The sequence below is a fragment of the Homo sapiens genome, chromosome X (genome assembly GCF_000001405.40).
Source record: "Homo sapiens chromosome X, GRCh38.p14 Primary Assembly".
Taxonomy (NCBI): Eukaryota; Metazoa; Chordata; class Mammalia; order Primates; family Hominidae; genus Homo; species Homo sapiens.
Window position 1 is genome coordinate 48,868,063 of NC_000023.11, and position 22,313 is coordinate 48,890,375.

At 44.4% G+C, this 22,313-nt stretch overlaps 1 annotated feature.

Annotated features, from left to right (window-relative positions):
- Window positions 253–1,452: an enhancer, noted in NCBI's record as "BRD4-independent group 4 enhancer chrX:48726714-48727913 (GRCh37/hg19 assembly coordinates)". NCBI's record gives its function as "activates an origin of replication core promoter dependent on BRD2, P300/CBP, MED14 and CDK7 cofactors, and independent of BRD4, by STARR-seq in HCT116 cells {active_cell/tissue: HCT116}" and the evidence as "EXISTENCE:reporter gene assay evidence [ECO:0000049][PMID:35650434]".

Genomic DNA, 22,313 nt, shown 5'->3' on the forward strand with positions numbered 1-22,313 from the left:
TCCATAGCCAGAGATTATTCATTACCCTGGAATGTCAGCAATCTCCTGGTTGTGGGGAGGGGTGGGGCATTTCTATGTTTCTTACGCTGAACTGTCTCTAAATCTCTCCAGAGGGATGCACTATCTCAATATCCAAGGCTGCTGTTCAAACATTGTTCAGAAGGCCTAGCCCATGCAGGAACATGAGTGATCTGTGCAGATCTGCCTCCCAACACATTGCTATATAGTATTTCCTTGCGTGAATATACCATCATTTTTGTATCCATTCTTTGGCTGATGTGCATTTGGGTAGTTTTTAGTTTGGGGCTATTATGAAAAAAGTTGCTATAAACATTATTTTATGTCTTTGGTTAACATTTATACACATTCTGTTCTCGCTTCATTTCATTCGTTTGATCTTCCATCACTGATACCATTTCTTCCAGTTGATTGAATCGGCTACTGAGGCTTGTGCATTCGTCACATAGTTCTCGTGCCTTGGTTTTCAGCTCCACCAGGTCCTTTAAGGACTTCTCTGCATTGGTTATTCTAGCTAGCCATTCGTCTAATTTTTTTTCAAGGTTTTTAACTTCTTTGCCATGGGTTCGAACTTCCTCCTTTAGCTCGGAGTAGTTTGATCGTCTGAAGCCTTCTTCTCTCAACTCATCAAAGTCATTCTCCGTCCAGCTTTGTTCCATTGCTGGTGAGGAGCTGTGTTCCTCTGGAGGAGGAGAGGCACTCTGATTTTTAGAGTTTCCAGTTTTTCTACTCTGTTTTTTCCCCATCTTTGTGGTTTTATCTACCTTTGGTCTTTGATGATGGTGACGTACAGATGGGTTTTTGGTGTGGATGGCCTTTCTGTTTGTTAGTTTTCCTTCTAACAGTCAGGACCCTCAGCTGCAGGTCTGTTGGAGTTTGCTGGAGGTCCACTCCAGACCCTGTTTGCCTGGGTATCAGCAGCGGAGGGTGCAGAACAGCGGATATTGGTGAACAGCAAATGTCGCTGCCTGATCGTTCCTCTGGAAGTTTTGTCTCAGAGGAGTAACGGCCCGTGTGAGGTGTCAGTCTGAGAAAAAAGAATAAAAAGAAACGAACAAAGCCTCCAAGAAATATGGGACTATGTGAAAAGACCAAATCTACGTCTGATTGGTGTACCTGAAAGTGACGGGGAGAATGGAACCGAGTTGGAAAACACTCTGCAGGATATTATACAGGAGAACTTCCTCAATCTAGCAAGGCAGGCCAACATTCAAATTCAGGAAATACAGAGAACACCACAAAGATACTCCTCGAGAAGAGCAACTCCAAGACACATAATTGTCAGATTCACCAAAGTTGAAATGAAGGAAAAAATGTTAAGGGCAGCCAGAGAGAAAGGTCGAGTTACCCACAAAGGGAAGCCCATCAGACTAACAGCTGATCTCTCGGCGGAAACCCTACAAGCCAGAAGAGTGGGGGGGCCAATATTCAACATTCTTAAAGAAAAGAATTTTCTGCCGGGTGCGGTGGCTCACACCTGTAATCCCAGCACTTTGGGAGGCCAAGGCGGGAGAATCATGAGGTCTGGAGTTTGAGACCAGCTTGGCCAACATGTTGAAACCCTGTCTCTACTAAAAATACAAAAAAAAAAATTACCCGGGCGTAGTGGCAGACACCTGTAATCCCAGCTACTCAGGAGGCTGAGGCAGGAGAATCGCTTGAAACCAGAAGGCGGAGGTTGCAGTGAGCCCAGATCACACCACTGCACTCCAGCCTGGGCAATAAGAGCGAAACTCTGTCTCAAAAAAAAAAAAGAAAAGAAAAAGAAAAGAATTTTCAACCCAGAATTTCATATCCAGCCAAACTAAGCTTCATAAGTGAAGGAGAAATAAAATACTTTACAGACAAGCAAATGCTGAGAGATTTTGTCATCACCAGGCCTGCCCTAAAAGAGCTCCTGAAGGAAGCACTAAACATGGAAAGGAACAACCGGTACCAGCCACTGCAAAAACATGCCAAATTTTAAAGACCATTGAAGCTAGGAAGAAACTGCATCAACTAACGAGCAAAATAACCAGCTAACATCATAATCACAGGATCAAATTCACACATAACTATTAACCTTAAATGTAAATGGACTAAATGCTCCAATTAAAAGACACAGACTGGCAAATTGGATAAAGAGTCAAGACCCATCAGTGTGCTATATTCAGGAGACCCATCTCACGTGCAGAGACACACATAGGCTCAAAATAAAGGGATGGAGGAAGATCTACCAAGCAAATGGAAAACAAAAAAAGGCAGGGGTTGCAATCCTAGTCTCTCATAAAACAGACTTTAAACCAACAAAGATCAAAAGAGACAAAGAAGGCCATTACATAATGGTAAAGGGATCAATTCAACAAGAAGAGCTAACTATCCTAAACATATATGCACCCAATACAGGAGCACCCAGATTCATAAAGCAAGTCCTTAGTGACCTACAAAGAGACTTAGACTCCCACACAATAATAATGGGAGACTTTAACACCCCACCGTCAACATTAGATAGATCAACGAGACAGAAAGTTAACAAGGATATCCAGGAACTGAACTCAGCTCTGCACTAAGTGGATCTAATAGACATTTACAGAACTCTCCACCCCAAATCAACAGAATATATGTTCTTCTCAGCACCACACCGCACTTATTCCGAAACTGACCACATAGTTGGAAGTAAAGCACTTCTCAGCAAATGTAAAAGAATGGAAATTATGACAAACTGTCTCTCAGACCACAGTGCAATCAAACTAGAACTCAGGATTAAGAAACTCACTCAAAACTGCTCAACTACATGGAAACTGAACAACCTGCTCCTGAATGACTACTGGGTACATAACGAAATGAAGGCAGAAATAAAGATATTCTTTGAAACCAACGAGAACAAAGACACAACATACCAGAATCTCTGGGACACATTCAAAGCAGTGTGTAGAGGGAAATTTACAGCACTAAATGCCCACAAGAGAAAGCAGGAAAGATCTAAAATTGACACCCTAACATCACAATTAAAAGAACTAGAGAAGCAAGAGCAAACACATTCAAAAGCTAGCAGAAGGCAAGAAATAACTAAGATCAGAGCAGAACTGAAGGAGATAGAGACACAAAAAACCCTTCAAAACATCAATGAATCCAGGAGCTTGTTTTTTGAAAAGATCAACAAAATTGATAGACCGCTAGCAAGACTAATAAAGAAGAAAAGAGAGAAGGATCAAATAGAAGCAATAAAAAATGATAAAGGGGATATCACCACCGATCCCACAGAAATACAAACTACCATCAGAGAATACTATAAACACCTCTACGCAAATAAACTAGAAAATCTAGAGGAAATGGATAAATTCCTCGACACATATACCCTCCCAAGACTAAACCAGGAAGAAGTTGAATCTCTGAATAGACCAATAATAGGCTCTGAAATTGAGGCAATAATTAATAGCTTACCAACCAAAAAAAGTCCAGGACCAGATGGATTCACAGCCAAATTCTACCAGAGGTACAAGGAAGAGCTGGTACCATTCCTTCTGAAACTATTCCAATCAATAGAAAAAGAGGGAATCCTCCCTAACTCATTTTATCAGGCCAGCATCATCCTGATACCAAAGCCTGGCAGAGACACAACAAAAAAAGAGAATTTTAGACCAATATCCCTGATGAACATCGATGCAAAAATCCTCAATAAAATACTGGCAAACCGAATCCAGTAGCACATCAAAAAGCTTATCCACCATGATCAAGAGGGCTTCATCCCTGGGATGCAAGGCTGGTTCAACATACACAAATCAATAAACATAATCCAGCACATAAACAGAACCAACGACAAAAACCATATGATTATCTCAATAGACGCAGAAAAGGCCTTTGACAAAATTCAACAACTAAAACTCTCAATAAATTAGGTATTGATGGGACGTATCTCAAAATAATAAGAGCTATCTATGACAAACCCACAGCCAATATCATACTGAATGGACAAAAACTGGAAGCATTCCCTTTGAAAACCGGCACAAGACAGGGATGCCCTCTCTCACCACTCCTATTCAACATAGTGTTGGAAGTTCTGGCCAGGGCAATCAGGCAGGAGAAGGAAATAAAGGGTATTCAATTAAGAAAAGAGGAAGTCGAATTGTCCCTGTTTGCAGATGACATGATTTATATATCTAGAAAACCCCATCATCTCAGCCCAAAATCTCCTTAAGCTGATAGGCAACTTCAGCAAAGTCTCAGGATACAAAATCAATGTGCAAAAATCCAAGCATTCTTAAACACCAATAACAGACAAACAGCCAAATCATGAGTGAACTCCCATTCACAATTGCTTCAAAGAGAATAAAATACCTAGGAATCCAATTTACAAGGGACGTGAAGGACCTCTTCAAGGAGAACTACAAACCACTGCTCAATGAAACAAAAGAGGATACAAACAAATGGAAGAACATTCCATGCTCATGGGTAGGAAGAATCAATATCATGAAAATGGCCATACTGCTCAAGGTAATTTATAGATTCAATGCCATCCCCATCAAGCTACCAATGACTTTCTTCACAGAATTGGAAAAAACTTCTTTAAAGTTCATATGGAACCAAAAAAGAGCCCGCATGGCCAAGTCAATCCTAAGACAAAAGAACAAAGCTGGAGGCATCACGCTACCTGACTTCAAACTATACCATAAGGCTACAGTAACCAAAACAGCATGGTACTGGTACCAAAACAGAGATACAGACCAATGGAACAGAACAGAGCCCTCAGAAATAATGCCGCATATCTACAACCATCTGATCTTTCACAAACCTGAGAAAAACAAGCAATGGGGAAATGATTCCCTATTTAATAAATGGTGCTGGGAAAACTGACTAGCCATATGTAGAAAGCTGAAACTGGATCCCTTCCTTATACCTTATACAAAAATTAATTCAAGATGGATTAAAGACTTAAATGTTAGACCTAAAACCATAAAAACCCTAGAAGAAAACCTAGGCAATACCATTCAGGACATAGGCATGGGCAAGGACTTCATGTCTAAAACACCAAAAGTAATGGCAACAAAAGCCAAAATTGACAAATGGGATCTAATTAAACTAAAGAGCTTCTGCACAGCAAAAGAAACTACCATCAGAGTGAACAGGCAACCTACAGAATGGGAGAAAATTTTTGCAATCTACTCATCTGACAAAGGGCTAATACCCAGAATCTACAATGAACTCTAACAAATTTACAAGAAAAAAACAAAAAACCCCATCACAAAAAGTGGGCAAAGGATATGAACAGACACTTCTCAAAAGAAGACATTTATGTAGCCAAAAGACACATGAAAAAATGCTCATCATCACTGGCCATCAGAGAAATGCAAATCAAAACCACAATGAAATACCATCTCACACCAGTCAGAATGGTGATCATTAAAAAGTCAGGAAACAACAGGTGCTGGAGAGGATGTGGAGAAATAGGAACACTTTTACACTGTTGGTGGGACTGTAAACTAGTTCAACCCTTGTGGAAGTCAGTGTGGCGCTTCCTCAGGGATCTAGAACTAGAAATACCATTTGACCCAGCCATCCCATTACTGGGTATATACCCAAAGGATTATAAATCATGTTGCTATAAAGACACATGCACATGTATGTTTATTGTGACACTATTCACAATAGCAAAGAATTGGAACCAACCCAAATGTCCAAAAATGATAGACTGGATTAAGAAAATGTGGCACATATACACCATAGAATACTATGCAGCCATAAAAAATGATGAGTTCATGTCCTTTGTAGGGACATGGATGAAGCTGGAAACCATCATTCTCAGCAAACTATTGCAAGGACAAAAAACCAAACACCACATGTTCTCACTCATAGGTGGGAATTGAACAGTGAGAACACATGGACACAGGAAGGGGAACATCACACACCAGGGACTGTTGTGGGATGGGGGGCGGGGGAGGAATAGCCTTTGGAGATATACCTAATGTTAAATGACGAGTTACTGGGTGCAGCACACCAACATGGCACATGTATACATATGTAACTAACCTGCACGTTGTGCACATGTACCCTAAAACTTAAAGTATAATAATAAAAAAAAGGATAAAACAAAACAAAACAAAAAAACATTTATACACATTCTGTTTAGTATATACCCAGAAGTGGCATCACTGAGTGATGGGTGTGCACATATACAGCTCTAGTAGAAACTGCCGGCTGGGCATGGAGACTTATGCCTGTAATCCCAGCACTTTGGGAGGCGAAGGCGGGTGGATCACCTGAGGTCAGGAGTTCGAGACCAGCCTGGCCAACATGGTAAAATCCCATCTGTACTAAAAATACAAACATTAGCTGGGCGTTGTGGCGAGCGCCTGTAATTCCAGCTACTTGGGAGCCTGAGGCAGGAGAATCACTTGAACCCAGGAGACAGAGGTTTCAGTGAGCCAAGATCTTGCCACTGCACTCCAGCCTGGGTGACAAGAGTGAAACTCTGTCTCAAAAAAAAAAAAAAGAAAGAAAGAAAAAAGGAACTATAAAACGGTTTTCCAAAATAATTGTTGTATCCATTATGCTCCCATCAGCTGTGAATGAGACATTCTGTCTCTGGAAATGCTTACCAACAGTTGGTATTATCAGATTTTAAATTTTTTCTCTATCTGGGGCTGGGTAGCGGTGGCTCACACCTATAATCCCAGCACTTAGGGAGGCGAAGGCAGGCAGATCACCTGAGGTCAGGAGTTCGAGACCAGCCTGGCCAACATAGTGAAACCTCGTCTCTACTTAAAAAGTACAAAAATTAGCCGGACATGGTGGCACATGCCTGTAGTCCCAGGTACTCAGGAGGCTGAGGCAGGAGAATTGCTTGAACCCCGGAGGCAGAGATTGCAGTGAGCCGAGATAGTGCCACTGCACTCCAGCCTGGGCAACAGAGCAAGACTCCATCTCAAAAAAAAAAATCTTTTTGCCTATCTGATAGACAGGAAATAACATTTTGTTCCTTTAATATACAGCTCTCTGATTTAGTGTGAGCATATTTCTATATATTTATTGGCCATTTGGGTTTCCTCTTATGCAAAATGTTTGTTCATAACCTTTGCATACTTTTTGATTGGGCGTCTTGTCTTTCCCTTAAAATTTTTTAGGAGTTCTTTTTATATGAGGGGTCATCTAAAAGTACACGGAAAATGCATTTGGTGAAAAAAACTATATGCATGGATTTCAAATGTTTTATAGTTTTTTGTTGTTTTTCTGTTTTGCTTTTTTCCTTCCTATTTTTGTTTTGCTTTTATTTATTTATTTTTGTTTTTTCTTTTTTGAATTTCAATTTTTTTTTACACCAAAATAAATCTGTACTAACTTGTTATAACATGTCTGAACAGGATCTGGTTTGAGGGGTTAAGAAGGATAAGACATCAATTTGAAAAGAGCCTCTACCAGAGCCACATGAATTCTGCTAATACTGAAGCAAGAACAAAATCAAATTTATGGTGATGGTTGGGTGGAAGAATGGTGAAAAATCATTGATGCTTTCTGAAAAGTTTATGGGGACAATGCCCCCAAATAAATCAGCAGTTTACAAATAGATAACTCAGCTTAAGAATGGGCCAGGTGTGGCGGCTCATGCCTGTAATCCCAGAACTTTGGGAGGCCAAGGCAGGCCAACCGCTTGAGTCCAGGAGTTTAAGACCAGCCTGAGCAACATGGCGAAACCTCATCTCTACAAAAAAATGGAAAAATTAGCCAGGCGTGGTGGCACGTGCCTGTAGTCCCAGCTACTACTCGGGAGGCTGAGCTGGGAGAATCACCTGAGCCAGGGTAAGTTGAGGCTGCAGTGAGCCATGATCATGCCACTGTACTCCAGCCTGGGTGACAGAGTAAGAGTCTGTCTCAAAACAAAACAAAACAAAACAAAAAACAGAAGCCAATAGCAAGATGAATCACATGCTGGAATTATCTGACAAGGATTTTAGAGTAGTCACCATAAAAATGAGTCAATAAGGAATTACAAATAAACTGGAAACAAAAGAAGAAATAGAAATTCTTTGGCCAGGTGCGATGGCTCACAACTGTAATCCCAGTACTTTGGGAGGCCAAGGCGGTTAGGACGTTTGAGTCCAGGAGCTCAAGACCAGCCTGGGCAATATGGTGAAGCCCCACCTCTACAGAAAATACAAAAAGTAGCCAGTTATGGTGGTGTGCACTTGTGGTTCCAGCTACTTGGGAGGCTGAGCTTAGGAGGATCGATTCAGCCTAGGAGGTTGAGGCTGCAGTGAGCTGTGATTGCACCACTGCACTCCAGCCTGGGCAACAGAGTGAGACCCCATCTCAAAAAAAAATTATCAACATATAGATGATATAGAAAAAGAACCAAATAGAAATGATAGAACTAAAAATTATAAATGAAAATTAAAACTGGCCTGGCGCGGTGGCTCATGCCTGTAATCCCAGCACTTTGGGAGGCCAAGGTGGGTGGATCACCTGAGGTCAGGGGTTTGAGACCAGCCTGGCCAACATGGTGAAACCCTGTCTCTACTAAATATACAAAAATTAGCCGGGCGTGGTGGCGGGCACCTGTAATCCCATCTACTGGGGAGGCTGAGGCAGGAGAATGGCTTGAACCAAGGAGGCGGAGGCTGCAGTGAGCCACTGCACTTCACTCCAGCCTGGGCAAAAGAGCAAAACTCCATCCAAAAAAAAGAAAAAAAGAAAAAGAAAACAGAAAATTAAAGCTAATGCAAAAGGTTCAATGGCAGAATGAATATGACAGAGAAGTGATCTGGCAGACAGAACAGTAGAAAGTGTCCAATCTCAACAACAGAGAGAAAATACACTGAAAAAAAGATGGACAGAGTCTCAGAGACCTATAGGGCAACAACAAAGATCTAAGATTTATGTCACTGGACTTCTGCAAGAAGAGGAGAAATAGTAGTGAAGAAAACATATTTAAAGAAATAATGGCTGAAAGCTTCCCAAATTGGGCAAAGGACATAAACCTACGGATTGAAGTTGTGCAAACCCCAGTAGGATAAACCAAACGAAACCCACGCCCATATGTCATCATTTAACCTCTAAACACTAAAAACAAAGGAAAACCCTTGAAAGCAGCTAGAGAGAAATGACACATGAGGCATAGGGGACACTGATTAGAATGACAGTGGTGTTTTCATCTGAAACTAGGGAAACTAAAAGGAAGTGGCATGATATTCTTCAAGTACTGAAAGAACTGTCAACTGAGAGTCCTACATTGGGGAAAGTCTCTTTCAGGAATGAGAGGGAAATAAAGACATTCTCAGGCGAAGGAAAACTAAAACAAGTCTGTGTTAATCAGTTCAGGCTACCATGATGAAATACCATAGACTGGGTGGCTTGAACAACATGAATTCATTTCTCACAGTTCGGGAGGCTGGGAAGTCCTCAGTCAAGATGCTGGCTGATCTGGTTTCCGGAAAGGGCTCTCTTAGCAGCTTGCAGAGGGCTGCCTCCTGGCTGTGTCCTTCCATGGTGGGAGGAGAGAGAAGGGTAGGGGAAACAAGCTCTCTGGTGTCTCTTATAAGGGCACTTGTCCCATCACAAGGGCCCCTGATGACCTCATCTAAACCCAATTACTTCCCCAAAATCCCACATCCAAATACTGTCACATGGGGGGTGAAGGCTTCAACACATGAATTTTGGGGGAGACAAAATTCAGTCCATAGCAAATTTGTTTCCAGGACATCTGCTGTTAAAGAAAGGTGAAAGGAAGCTCTTCAAACAGAAGTGAAATAACAGACGAAGGTGTGGAACTTCAGAAAGGAAAAGAGAACAACAAAATGGGTTAAAATAGGAGTAAATACTCTTCTCCTCATGAGCTTTTTCATTTTCTCATGAGGTTTTTAAACCATATTTGATGGTTGAAGCAAAACATTGTAACAACATTTGATACGGTTTTCAATGTATATAGAGAGAACACTTAGGACAATTACATTTTGAAAATAGGATAGGTAAAGGGATCTAAAGGGAAGTAAATTCCTCCACGTCAATTACAGTAGTAAAACATTGACATTGGTGGACTGTGATAAGTTACACGTGCAGGTTGTAATACCTAGAGCAATCACTAAGAAGACCATACAAAGTGATTGTCGTAGTACATTCTGTGCTGCTGTAACAGAATACCTGAGACTGGATAATTTATAAAACACATTTATTTCACACAGTTCTGGAGGCTGGGAAGTCCAAGATCAAGTCACCAACAGGTTTGGCATCTGGGAAGGGCTGCTCTCTGCTTCTAAGACAGTGCCTTGAATGCTGCATCCTCTGGAGCGGGGGAACACTGTGTCCTCACGTGGCAAAAAAGGTGAAAGGGCAAAAAGGGAGGCATTCCCTCCTTCAAGCCCTATTCTAACAGCATTAATCTGTTCATAAGGGCAGAGTCCTCTTGACCTAAACACATCCCAAAAGACCCCACCTCCCAACACTGCTGCATTGGGGATCAAGTTTAGACATGAATTTTTGGAAGGGACAAAAACATTCAAATCATAACGGTGATATGCTCAAAAATTATATAAATAAGTCAAAATGGAATTCTAAAAACAATGGTCATGTACCCACCCCAAGGAAGGCAAAGGGAGAGAAACAAAGGAATGAGAATCAGAGGGAACAAACAGAAAACAATAGTAAAATATACTAATTTAAACCACAATGAGGGCCAGGCGCTGTGGCTTACACCTGTAATCCCAGCACTTTGGGAGACTGAGGTGGGGAGATCACGAGGTCAGGAGTTAGAGACCAGCCTGGCCAACATGGTGAAACCCCATCTCGACTAAAAATAGAAAAATTAGCTAGGCGTGGTGGCACACTCCTGTAATCCCAGCTACTCAAGAGGCTGAGGCAGGAGAATTGCTCGAACCCGGGAGGCAGAGGTTGCAGTGAGCCAAGATTGCGTCACTGCACTCCAGCCTGGGTGACAGAGCAAGATTCCATCTCAAATAAAAAGATGAAGAGGCTGGGTGTGGTGGCTCACATCTGTAATCCCAGCACTTTGGGAGGCCGAGGCGGGCAGATCACTTGAGGTCAGGAGTTTGAGACTGGCCAACATGGTGAAACCCTGTCTCTACTAAAAATACAAAAATTAGCCAGGCATGGTGATGTGTGCTTGTAGTCCCAGCTACTAGGGAGGCTGAGACAGGAGAATCGCTTGAACCCAGGAGGCAGAGGCTGCAGTGAGCCAAGATCGCGCCGCTATGCTCCAGCCTGGGCAACAGAGCAAGACCCTGTCTCAAAAATAAAATAAAATAAATAAAAATAAATTAAAACCAAAAGACAAAGTTGGGCACAGCAGTGGATGCCTTTAGTATCAGCTACTAGGGAGGCTGAGTTGGGAGGATGACTTGAGCCCAAGAGTTCTATGCCAGCCTGGGCAACACAGTGAGACACCTGTCTCTAAAATAAAAATAAAATACATTTTTTTAAAAGATGAAAGATAATCCTAGCACTTTGGGAGTCCGAGGCGGGCAGATCACCTGAGGTCAGGAGTTCGAGACCAGCCTGACCAACATGGAGAAACCCCATCTCTACTAAAAATACAAAAAAAATTAGCCGGGCTTAGTGGCACATGCCTGTAATCCCAGCTACTCGGGAGGCTGAGGCAGGAGAATAGCTTGAACCCGGGAGGCAGAGGGTGCAGTGGGCTGAAATCACATCGTTGCACTGAAGCCTGGGCAACATGAGTGAAACTCTGTCTCAAAAAAAAGAAAAAAGAAATCAATATGTTAAAATAATATCTGCACTCTTATGTTCATGATATCATTATTCACAATAGCCAAGATAGGAAATCAACCTCTATCCAACAATGTGTGAATAAAGAAAACGTGGGCCGGGTGTGGTGGCTCACGTCTGTAATCCCAGCACTTTGGGAGGCCAAGGCTGGTGGATCACGAGGTCAGGAGATCGAGACCATCCTGGTCAACATGGTGAAACCCCCCTCTACTAAAAATACAAAAAATTAGCCGGGCGTAGTGGCATGCGCCTGTAGTCCCAGCTACTCAAGAGGCTGAGGCAGGAGAATCGCTTGAACCCAGGAGGTGGAGGTTGTAGTGAACGGAGATCGTGCCACTGCATTCCAGTCTGGGCAACAGTGCGAGGCTCTGTCTCAAAAAAAACACATTAATCCACCAAAGAGATATAGCAATCCTAAATGTGCATGCACTAAACAAGATCATTTCAAATTACACGAAGAAAAAATGATCAGGCTGAAAGGAGAAATGGACAAATCCACAATTATAATTGAGGATATCAACACCACCCCTGCAACAAATGGAATTACTAGAGAGAAATTCAAGCAATGATAAAGAAGAACTAAACAACACCATCAATCAACAGTAACAAGGCCAGGCTTGGTGGCTCACGCTCGTAATCCCAGCACTTTGAGAGGCCAAGGTGGGTGGGTCATCTGAGGTCAGGAGTTCGAGACCAGCCTGGCCAACATGGCAAAACCCTGTCTCTACTAAAAATACAAAAATTAGCCAGGTGTGGTGGCACACACCTGTAGTCCCAGCTACTTGGGAGGCTGGGGCAGGAGAATCGCTTGAACTCAGGAGGCAGAGGTTGCAGTGAACCAAGATCACATCACTGTACTCCAGCCTGGGCGACAGAGCAAGATTCTGTGTCAAAAAATAAAAAACAAAAAAACAGTATTGAAATGACATTATAGAACATTCAACCCAACAACAGAATACATGTTGTTTTTGAGTGCCTGTGGAACGTTCAGCAAGATAGAACATTACCTGGGCCATAAAACAAACCTCAACAAATTTAAAAAAACTAAAATCAGAGGGAGTATCTTCTCTGATTATATAGAATCAAATTAGAAATCATAACAGAAAGACAACAGGAAAACCCCCTAAACACTTATTTAAAAACATGCTTCTCAATAACCCATGGGTCACAAAGTAAGTCAAAAGGAAATTTTATAAATACACAGAACTGGAAAAAATGAAAATACACCTGTCAAAATATGTGCAATGCATGAGTGTAGTGTTGAGATGGAAATTTATAGAACTAGGTACTTACATTAGAAAAGAGGAAAGGTCTCAAATCAATAATCTAAGTTCCTACTTCAAGAAACTAGAAAAAGAAGAGCAAAGGAACCTCAAGGAAGCAGAAGGCAGGAAATAATAAAGATAAGAACAGAAATCAATACAATTAAAAACAGAAAAACAGCAGAGAAAACAATCAATGAAACAAAAACTTGGATCTTTGAAAAGATCAATACAATTGAAAAACTTGTAGCAAGACTGGCAAAGATAAAGAGAGAAGATACAAATCATCAATATTAGGAATGAAAGAGGGGATGTCACTACAGATTTTGCAGTCACTGAAAGGATACTGCAAGTTCCATGAAGAAGAACTCTATTCTCATAAATTCAACAACTTAGAAGAAATGGACCAATTACTCCAAAAGCACAAACGACCAAACTCAAGCAATATAAAATAGGCGATCTGAATAATTCTACAACCATTAAAAATTTAAATTTATTATTTAGCCCTCAGAAAAGAAATCTTGAGGCCCAGATGTTTTCACTGGAGAATTCCTCCTAACACTTAAAGCGAAATTAGTGTCAATTTTGTAGACTGTCTTCCGGATAATAGAAGCAAAGGGAACACCTCCCAACTCATTGTATGAGGCCAGTTTTACCTTGCTACCAAAACCAGGGAAAAAAGCATACACACAAAAGGAAAGCTACAAACTGATATCTCTTGTGAATTTAGGCACAAAAACCCTCAACAAAATATTAGGAAATCAAATCCAGGAATGTTTTAAAGGAATTATACACCATGACCAAGTAGGATTTGTTCCAGGTATGAAAGGCTGGTTCAGTTTTTGATACTCATCAATGTCATCCACCACGACAGGTTAAAAAAAAAAAGCATATGATCATATCAATTGATGAGAAAACAAAAACAACCCAGTGGCCAGGTGTGGTGGCTCACGCCTGTAATCCCAGCACTTTGGGAGGCCGAGGCAGGTGGATCACTTGAGGACAGGAGTTTGAGACCAGCCTGGCCAACATGGTGAAACCCCGCCTCTACTAAACATACAAAAAAATTAGCCGGGCGTGGTAGCGGGCACCTGCAATCCCAGCTACTCAGGAGGCTGAGGCAGGAGAATCGCTTGAACCCAGGAGGCAGAGGTTGCAGTGAACCAAGATCACGCCATTGCAATCCAGCTTGGGCAACAAGCGCAAAACTCCATCTAAAAAACAAACAAACAAAACCAGTTTTTTATTTTTTGTTTTCTTTTTTTTTTGAGACAGAGTCTCTCTCTGTCGCCCAGGCTGGAGTGCAGTGGCGCAATCTGGGCTCACTGCAGCTTCCACTTCCCAAGTTCAAGCAATTCTCCTGCCTCAGACTCCCAAGTAGCTGTAACTACAGGCGTGCACCACCATGCCCAGCTAATTTTTGTATTTTTAGTAGAGACGGTTTCACCATGGTGGTTAGGCTGGTCTTGAACTCCTGACTTTAAGTGATCTGCCCGCCTTGGTCTCCCAAAGTGGTGGGATTACAGGCGTGACCACTGTACCCGGCCCACCCCAGTATTTGATAAACGCCAATACCCAGTCTTCTGGTTCTGTTCCCAGATGGACCTGCTTGTTCTTGTGGTCCAATAATAAGAAGCAGACAGACTAGAAGAGAAGGGAGTTTTTTTCTGCAGCTGGCTACAGAGAGAAGGTCGGAGTAACTCACCAGACCCACCCAAAGTTAGGTGTTTTGTTAGCTTATGTATACAATTCAAACTCTATGCCTATGTGCAGGAGTGTTTCTTAATCTAATGGTTTTTTTGTTTTTTGTCTTTTTTTTTTTTGAGACAGGGTCTTGTTCTGTCGCCTAGGCTGGACTGCAGTGGTATGATCTCAGCTCAGTGCAGTCTAGACCTCCCCGGTTCAAGCATTCCTCCCACCTCATCCTCCTGAGTAGCTGGGACTACAGAACAGCGCCACTATGCCCAATTGATTTTTAAATTTTTTGTAGAGATGCAGTCTCCCAATGTTGCCGAGGGTGGTCTCGAACTCCTCCTAGGCTCAAGTGATCCACCCACCTCAGCCTCCCAAAGAGTTGGGATTACAGGCGTGAGCCACCTCACCTGGCCATCTAATCCTCTTAACTAGGGGTCTGAAGGTAGGAAACTTTATTTCTTTTTCTTTTTCTTTTTTTTTTTTTTTGAGACGGAGTCTCGCTCTCTCACCCAGGCTGGAGTGCAATGGCGTGATCTCGGCTCACTACAACCTCTGCCTCCCGGGTTCAAGAGATTCTTCTGCCTCAGCCTCCTGAGTAGCTAGGACTACAGGCACATGCCACCACGCCTGGCTAATTTTTGTATTTTTTGGTAGAGATGGGGTTTCACCATGTTGGTCAGGCTGGTCTCGAACTCCTGACCTCGTGATCCGCCCACCTTGGCCTCCCAAAGTGCTGGGATTACAGACATGAGCCATCGTGGCTGGCCAAGTTTCTTAATCTTAATCCTAAATGGGTTTTGGTAGGGGTCGCATGTGTAGGAATGCTTTTATTACTCTATCAGGTTTTGAGATTGAGAAATCCAGGAGGGGTTTTCATGGTTTGTTTTTGCATTTCAGCTCTGGCACTCAGGCACCAGTTTTCCCAGGTCAGTATTCATTTTTTGCTCCTGCTTTAATGTTTGACTTATACACTCATCATTACAACAAAGGGCTTATGGAGACCTGACCTGCCACAGTTCCTGGAAAAGACGGAGTGGATACACTCCTCCCTGTTTCGCCTACAAAGTACAGCTGAAACCAATGGATGTTACATAGAAAACAAGCTTGAGAAGACTGCAAGGTACAGAAGAGCCAGCAGATGGCTAGGGATTCGGAATCGAGAAATGACATGGTGCTGAGCCCCGTGGGTTTTCTTATGCATTCAAGACCAGGTGCTGGAGAAAGCAGCAACGCAGAACACCAAGCGGTGCAGAAAAAAAAGACTCAGGAAAGCCTGGCGGGCACAGTGGTGCGTGCTTGTAGTCCCAGCTATCCAGGAGGCTGAGGCAGGAGGATCGCTTGAGCCCAGGAGTTTAAATCTAACCTGGGCAACATAGTGAGACCCTCATCTCTAAACAAAGAAATAAAAGACCCAGAGACCTGGGGAAACCTCTTCCCCTTAGCCAAAGGACCAGGTAAGGGGCAGCCTCCTAAGAGGGTGTGAACCAAAAAGTATCCCAGACAGGTCTCAATCAGTTTTGAAGTTTACTTTGCCAAGGTTGGCCGGGTGAGGTGGCTCACGCCTGTAATCCCAGTACTTTGGGAGGCCGAGCTAGGCGGATCACTTGAGGACAGGAGTTCGAGACCAGCCTGGCCAATATAGTGAAACTGCATGTCTACTAACAACAACGAAAAAACTAGCCAGGTGTGGTGGCACATGCCTGTAATCCCAGCTACTTGAAAGGCTAAGGCATGAGGATCGCCTGAACCCGGGAGGCAGAGGTTGCAGTGAGCCAAGATCTCGCCACTGCACTCCAGCCTGGGTGACAGAGAGAGACTCTATCTCAAAAAAAAAAAAAAAAAGTTTACTTTGCCAAGGTTAAGGACAATGCCCTGGACACACATCTGTGCCTGTGCCTTTCTCCAAAGATGATTTTGAGGGCTTCAATATTTAAATGGGAAAAGCGGGCTGGCGGGGAAAGAGGGAGGGTGTGGTCATCCACAGGTTGCAAGAGAAAAGGAGCAGGTAGGGGATTTTATTATTTTTTTTTTTTTTTGAGATGGAGTCTCACTCTGTCGCCCCGGCTGGAGTGCAATGGCGTGATGTCGGCTCACTGCAACCTCCGCCTCCCGGGTTCAAGCCATTCTCCTGCCTTAGCCTCCTGAGTAACTGGGACTACAGGCACCCGGCACCATGCCCGTCTAATTTTGTTTTTTTTTTTTTTTTGCGACGGAGTCTCGCTCTGTCGCCCAGGCTGGAGCGCAATGGCGTGATCTCTGCTCACTGCAAGCTCCGCCTCCCGGGTTTACGCCATTCTCCTGCCTCAGCCTCCCGAGTAGCTGGGACTACAGGCGCCTGCCACCATGCCCGTCTAATTTTTTGTATTTTTAGTAGAGACATGGTTTCACCGTGTTAGCCAGGATGGTCTCGATCTCCTGACCTCGTGATCCGCCCGCCTCAGCCTCCCAAAGTGCTGGGATTACAGGCGTGAGCCACCCCGCCCAGCCACGCCCGTCTAATTTTTGTATTTTTAGTAGAGACGGGTTTTCGCCATGTTGGCCAGGATGGTCTGGATTTCTTGACCTCGTGATTCGCCCGCCTTGGCCTCCCAAAGTGTTGGGATTACAGGCGTGAGCCACCGTGCCTGGCCAGGGGATTAATCAGTTATGTATTATGGCTGGGCGTGGTGGCTCACGCCTGTAATCCCAGCACTTTGGGAGGCCAAGGCCGACGGACGGATCACTTGAGGTCAGGCGTTGGAGACCAGCCTGGCCAACATGGAGAAACCTCGTCTCTACTAAAAATACAAAAATTAGCTGGGCATGGTGGTGGGTGCCTCTAATCCCAGCTACTCGGGAGGCTGAGGCACGAGAATTACTTGAACCCAGGAGGTGGAGGTCACAGTGAGCCGAGATGGTGCCACTGTACTCCAGCCTGGGCAATAAAAGCGACACTCCATCTGAAAAAAAAAAAAAAAGGGCCGGGCGCAGTGGCTCACACCTGTAATCCCAGCATTTTGGGAGGCCAAGGCGAGCAGATCACGAGGTCAGGAGATCGAGACCATCCTGGCTAACATGGTGAAACCCTGTCTCTACTAAAAATACAAAAAAATTAGCCGGGCGTGGTGGCAGGCACCTGTAGTCCCAGCTACTCAGGAGGCTGAGGCAAGAGAATGGCATGAACTCGGGAGGTGGAGCTTGCAGTGAGCAGAGATCACGCCATTGCACTCCAGCCTGGGCAACAGAGCAAGACTCCGTCTCCAAAAAAAAAGGGCCGGGCGCGGTGGCTCACGCCTGTAATCCCAGCACTTTGGGAGGCCAAGGCAAGCGGATCACGAGGTCAGGAGATCGAGACCATCCTGGCTAACATGGTGAAACCCCATCTCTACCAAAAATACAAAAAATTAGCCAGGCGTGGTGGCGGGTGCCTGTAGTCCCAGCTACTTGGGAGGCTAAGGCAGGAGAATGGCGTGAACCTGGGAGGTAGAGGTTACAGTGAGCCGAGATCGAGCCACTGCACTTGAGCCTGGGCGACAGAGCGAGACTCTGTCTCAAAAAAAAAAAAAAAAAGTTATGTATTCTGAGTGTTTTGAGAAAACCAAAGCTTTAGCAGAAAAACACCTGGGAAAGCTTCACCAGAAAATCTTTCTCCACCACAACAATGCTCCTGCCTACTCCTCTCATCAAACAAAGGCAATTGTCATTTCATTTTTCCACACTTTTTGAAGTCCCCTTGTATTGTGGCTATTCATCCTTTGTCAACCATATGTGTTTGAAGCTGACTATGTCTTTTTGGGTAGACATATCTGTATGTCGGTCTAGGCAGATGGGCCCCACAAAACCACTGCACTCCCGTTATGGCTGGGAAGAGCAAGCAAATATTTCCTATGCCTCTAGGGGATACAGATTTAACCGAGAGTTAGACCTGGAAGTACCCCATAGTCAGTTTGAGGGATAAAGCAGGAGCATCATACATGAGTCAACATCCAAGGACCACATAGTATCTGGCACATCTCAGAAGATGCCTGTGTTGGCCGGGCACAGTGGCTCATGCCTGTAACCCCAGCACTTTGGGAGGCCAAGGCAGGCAGATCATTCGAGCCCCAGAGTTCAAGACCAGCCTGGGCAACATGGCAAAACCCCATCTCTACAAAAAAGTATAAAAATTAGCTGGATGTGGTGGCTCACGCCTGTGGTCCCAGTTACTCGGGAGGCTGAGGCAGGAGAATCACTTGAGCCCAGGAGGTTGAGGCTGCAGTGAGCTGAGATGGCACCACTACACTTCAGCCTGGGTGACAGAATGAGACCTTGTCTCAAAAAGAACGAAAGAAGGAAAGCCTGTTTGAACTGAAAGGGGGCTAAGTGGGGGACAGATCCTAAAGGAATCCTTTGATTTTGTAGATGGAAAACATAACATGCTCATTATTTCACTGAAATTTAAAGAAAATTGACTATCCTTTGTATTTTGCAATAAAAAGTTAGCTCCATAGGCCTAAATGTATTTTCTTTTTAATGTTCACCTAATTAAATTCCAGATCCAGACACTAGCCTTAATAATGATTGTCTTTATAATTAACTAAAGGAATCTAAGTTTCCTTTTGGCTGTGGGGGGAGAGAGTCCAATCTCCATCATAAAGTTTGTTTACACCATCTGATTTGGTGAAGTGTTGAATTGAGAAACTTTGACAAGAATGTCTGTCTTGAGTCCCTGTACAACTACAGAACCCTCTGAAATGCCCAGGATCGTTACCAACGCCATCTCCATTAAGTCAAGTCTGTCCACAGTGGGGAGAGCAAAAGGTTGGTTAACAAATACAAAAGTACAGCTATAGGCCAGGCCAGGCTGCTCTTGCCTGTAATCCCAGCGCTTTGGGAGGATCACTTGAGCCCAGGAGTTCAAGAGCAGCCCGTGAAACATGGTGAGATCTTGTCTTCAATAAAAAATAAAGGCCGGGCGTGGTGGCTCACGCCTGTAATCCCAGCACTTTGGGAGGCCGAGGCGGGCGGATCACGAGGTCAGGAGATTGAGACCATCCTGGGTAACACAGTGAAACCCCGTCTCTAATAAAAATACAAAAAAATTAGCTGGGCGTGGTGCCGGGCGCCTGTAGTCGCAGCTACTCGGGAGGCTGAGGCAGGAGAAAGGCGTGAACCCGGGAGGCGGAGCTTGCAGTGAGCTGAGATTGCGCCACTGCACTCCAGCCTGGGTGACAGAGCAAGACTCCATCTCAAATAAAATAAAATAACATAAAATAAAATAAAATAAATAAAAAATTATCCAGGCATGGTGGTGCATGCCTGTAGTACCACCTACTTGGGAGGCTGAGGCAGGAGGATCGCTTGAACCCAGGAGGTTGAGGGTGCAGTGAGCTATGATGGTGCCACTGCACTCCAGCCCAGGCGACAAAGTGAGATCCTGCCTCAAAATGAAAAAGTCACACTGTACCCCATAAATATTTACAATTATTATGTGTCTATTAAAAATAATAGGCTGGGGCCAGGCACAGTGGCTCACATCTGCAATCCCATCACTTTGGGAGGCCGAGGCAGGTGGATCACCTGAGGTCAGGAGTTTTAGACCAGCCTGGCCAACATGGTGAAACCCCATCTCTACTAAAAAAAAAAAATAATACAAAAATTAGCTGGGCATGGTGGTGTGTGCCTGTAAGCCCAGCTACCTGGGAGGCTGAGGCAGGAGAATTGCTTGAACCCAGGAGGTGGAGTTTGCAGTGAGCTGAGATCACGCCACTGTACTCCAGCCTGGGTGACAGAGCAAGACTCTGTCTCGAAAATAATAAAATAATAATAATAATAATAATAATAGGCCAGGTGTAGTGGCTCACACTTGTAATCCCAGCACTTTGGGAGACCAAGGCGGGCGGATCACTTGAGGTCATGAGTTCGAGACCAGCCTGGCCAACATGGTGAAACCCCATCTCTACCAAAAATACAAAAATTAGCTGGGCATGGTGGGATGTGCCTGTAATCTCAGCTACTCGTGAGGCTGAGGCACGAGAATCGCTTGAACCCAGGAGGCAGAGGTTGCAGTGAGCCGAGATTGTGCCACTGCACTCCAGCCCAGGGAACAGAGAGAAAAACTGTCTTAAATAAATAAAATAATAAAAGCAAAAAGAGGAATGTTTGTCCTTGAAATTATTACTTTAGCAAAGAAGGCTCATAAAACCTTCAAATGACACCTGTAGTTATAATTGAGAATATGTTGTCTATGTTGTAAATGACATCTCTGAAACTCTAAGTGCTGTAAATAAGGATTTTGAACTCCTGGCCTCAAGCAATCCTCCCGTCTTGGCCTCCCAAAGTGCTGGGATTACAGGTGCGAGCCACTGCGCCCGGCCGTGGATTTTAGTCCCAGCCTTGCCCCTCTGAGGCAGTGTAGTCATGGGAAGTTGCTTCGCCTTTTTGTGTTTCAGTTTCCTCAAGTGCAAATGAGGACAACAAAAGGCAGTTTTGTGTCACCTCAGACGTGGTCCTAAATGGGCCCACCGGGATGGTTCGCATTTTTTAACGTCAGAGCATCAATCTCTAAAGGTCTGCCCCTAGGTTGGGGTCAGGGGTGTCAGAGCTGCCCTGCCTGTCAAGCCCTGTTCTCCAAATGCCACTAAGAGAGCAGCGGAAATAGGAACACTGAGACCAGCAGCCCGACTCAAGGTGAAGTGCGTGCACCTCTCTTCCGTCTCCCTTTTGCTCCTCCTGCCTCTGCATTGACTCCATCTCTTGCTCCTCTGTATCCGTTTTACCTTCTCAATCTCATTCTCTCTCTGCTCCTGTTTTTCTTTTTTCCCTGTTACCTCTGCCTTGTGTCTTTGCCAATGTGTCTTTCTCCTTCTCACTTTTTTTTTTGGACGGATTCTCACTCTGGCTCCCAGGCTGAAGTGCAGTGGCGCGATCTCGGCTCACTATAACCTCCGCCTCCCGGGTTCAAGCAATTCTCCTGCCTCAACCGTGCAAGTAGCTGGGATTACAGGCGCCCGTCACCGTGCTTGGCTAATTTTTGTATTTTTAGTAGAGACGGGGTTTCACCATGTTGGCCAGGCTGGTCTCAAACTCCTGACCTCAAGTGACCTGCCCACTTCGGCCTCCACAAGTTCTGGGATTACAGGCATAAGCCACTGCACCTGGCCCCTCCTTCTCACTTTTTTTTTTTCTTTTTAAGACAGGGTCTCGTTCAGTCACCCAGGCTGGAGTGCAGTTATCTGCAACCTCTGTCTCCCGGGTTCAAGCAATTCTCCTGTCTCAGCCTCCCGAGTATCTGGGACTACAGGCATGTGCCACCATGCCCAGCTAACTTTTGTATTTTTAGTAGAGACGGGGTTTCACCTTGTTGGTCAGGCTGGTCTCGAACTCCTGACCTCAGGTGATCCACCCACCTCGGCCTCCCAAAGCGCTGGGATTACAGGCATGAGCCACCACGCCCGGCCTCTTGGTATCTTTTTCTGCATCTCTCTCTCCTTTGATCTCTCCGTAAACTCTGGCTTCTCTTTCTATGTCTTTCTCCCTATTCTCTTTCTGTCCCTTTGATTCCCCCATGTCTGTCTCTTTCTCCCTGACCTGTCGGGGTCTGTCCCTGAGGAAGTGAGTAAAGTGATCCCACACCTGTCAGGGCTGGACCCCCTTGCTCTTCTCTGA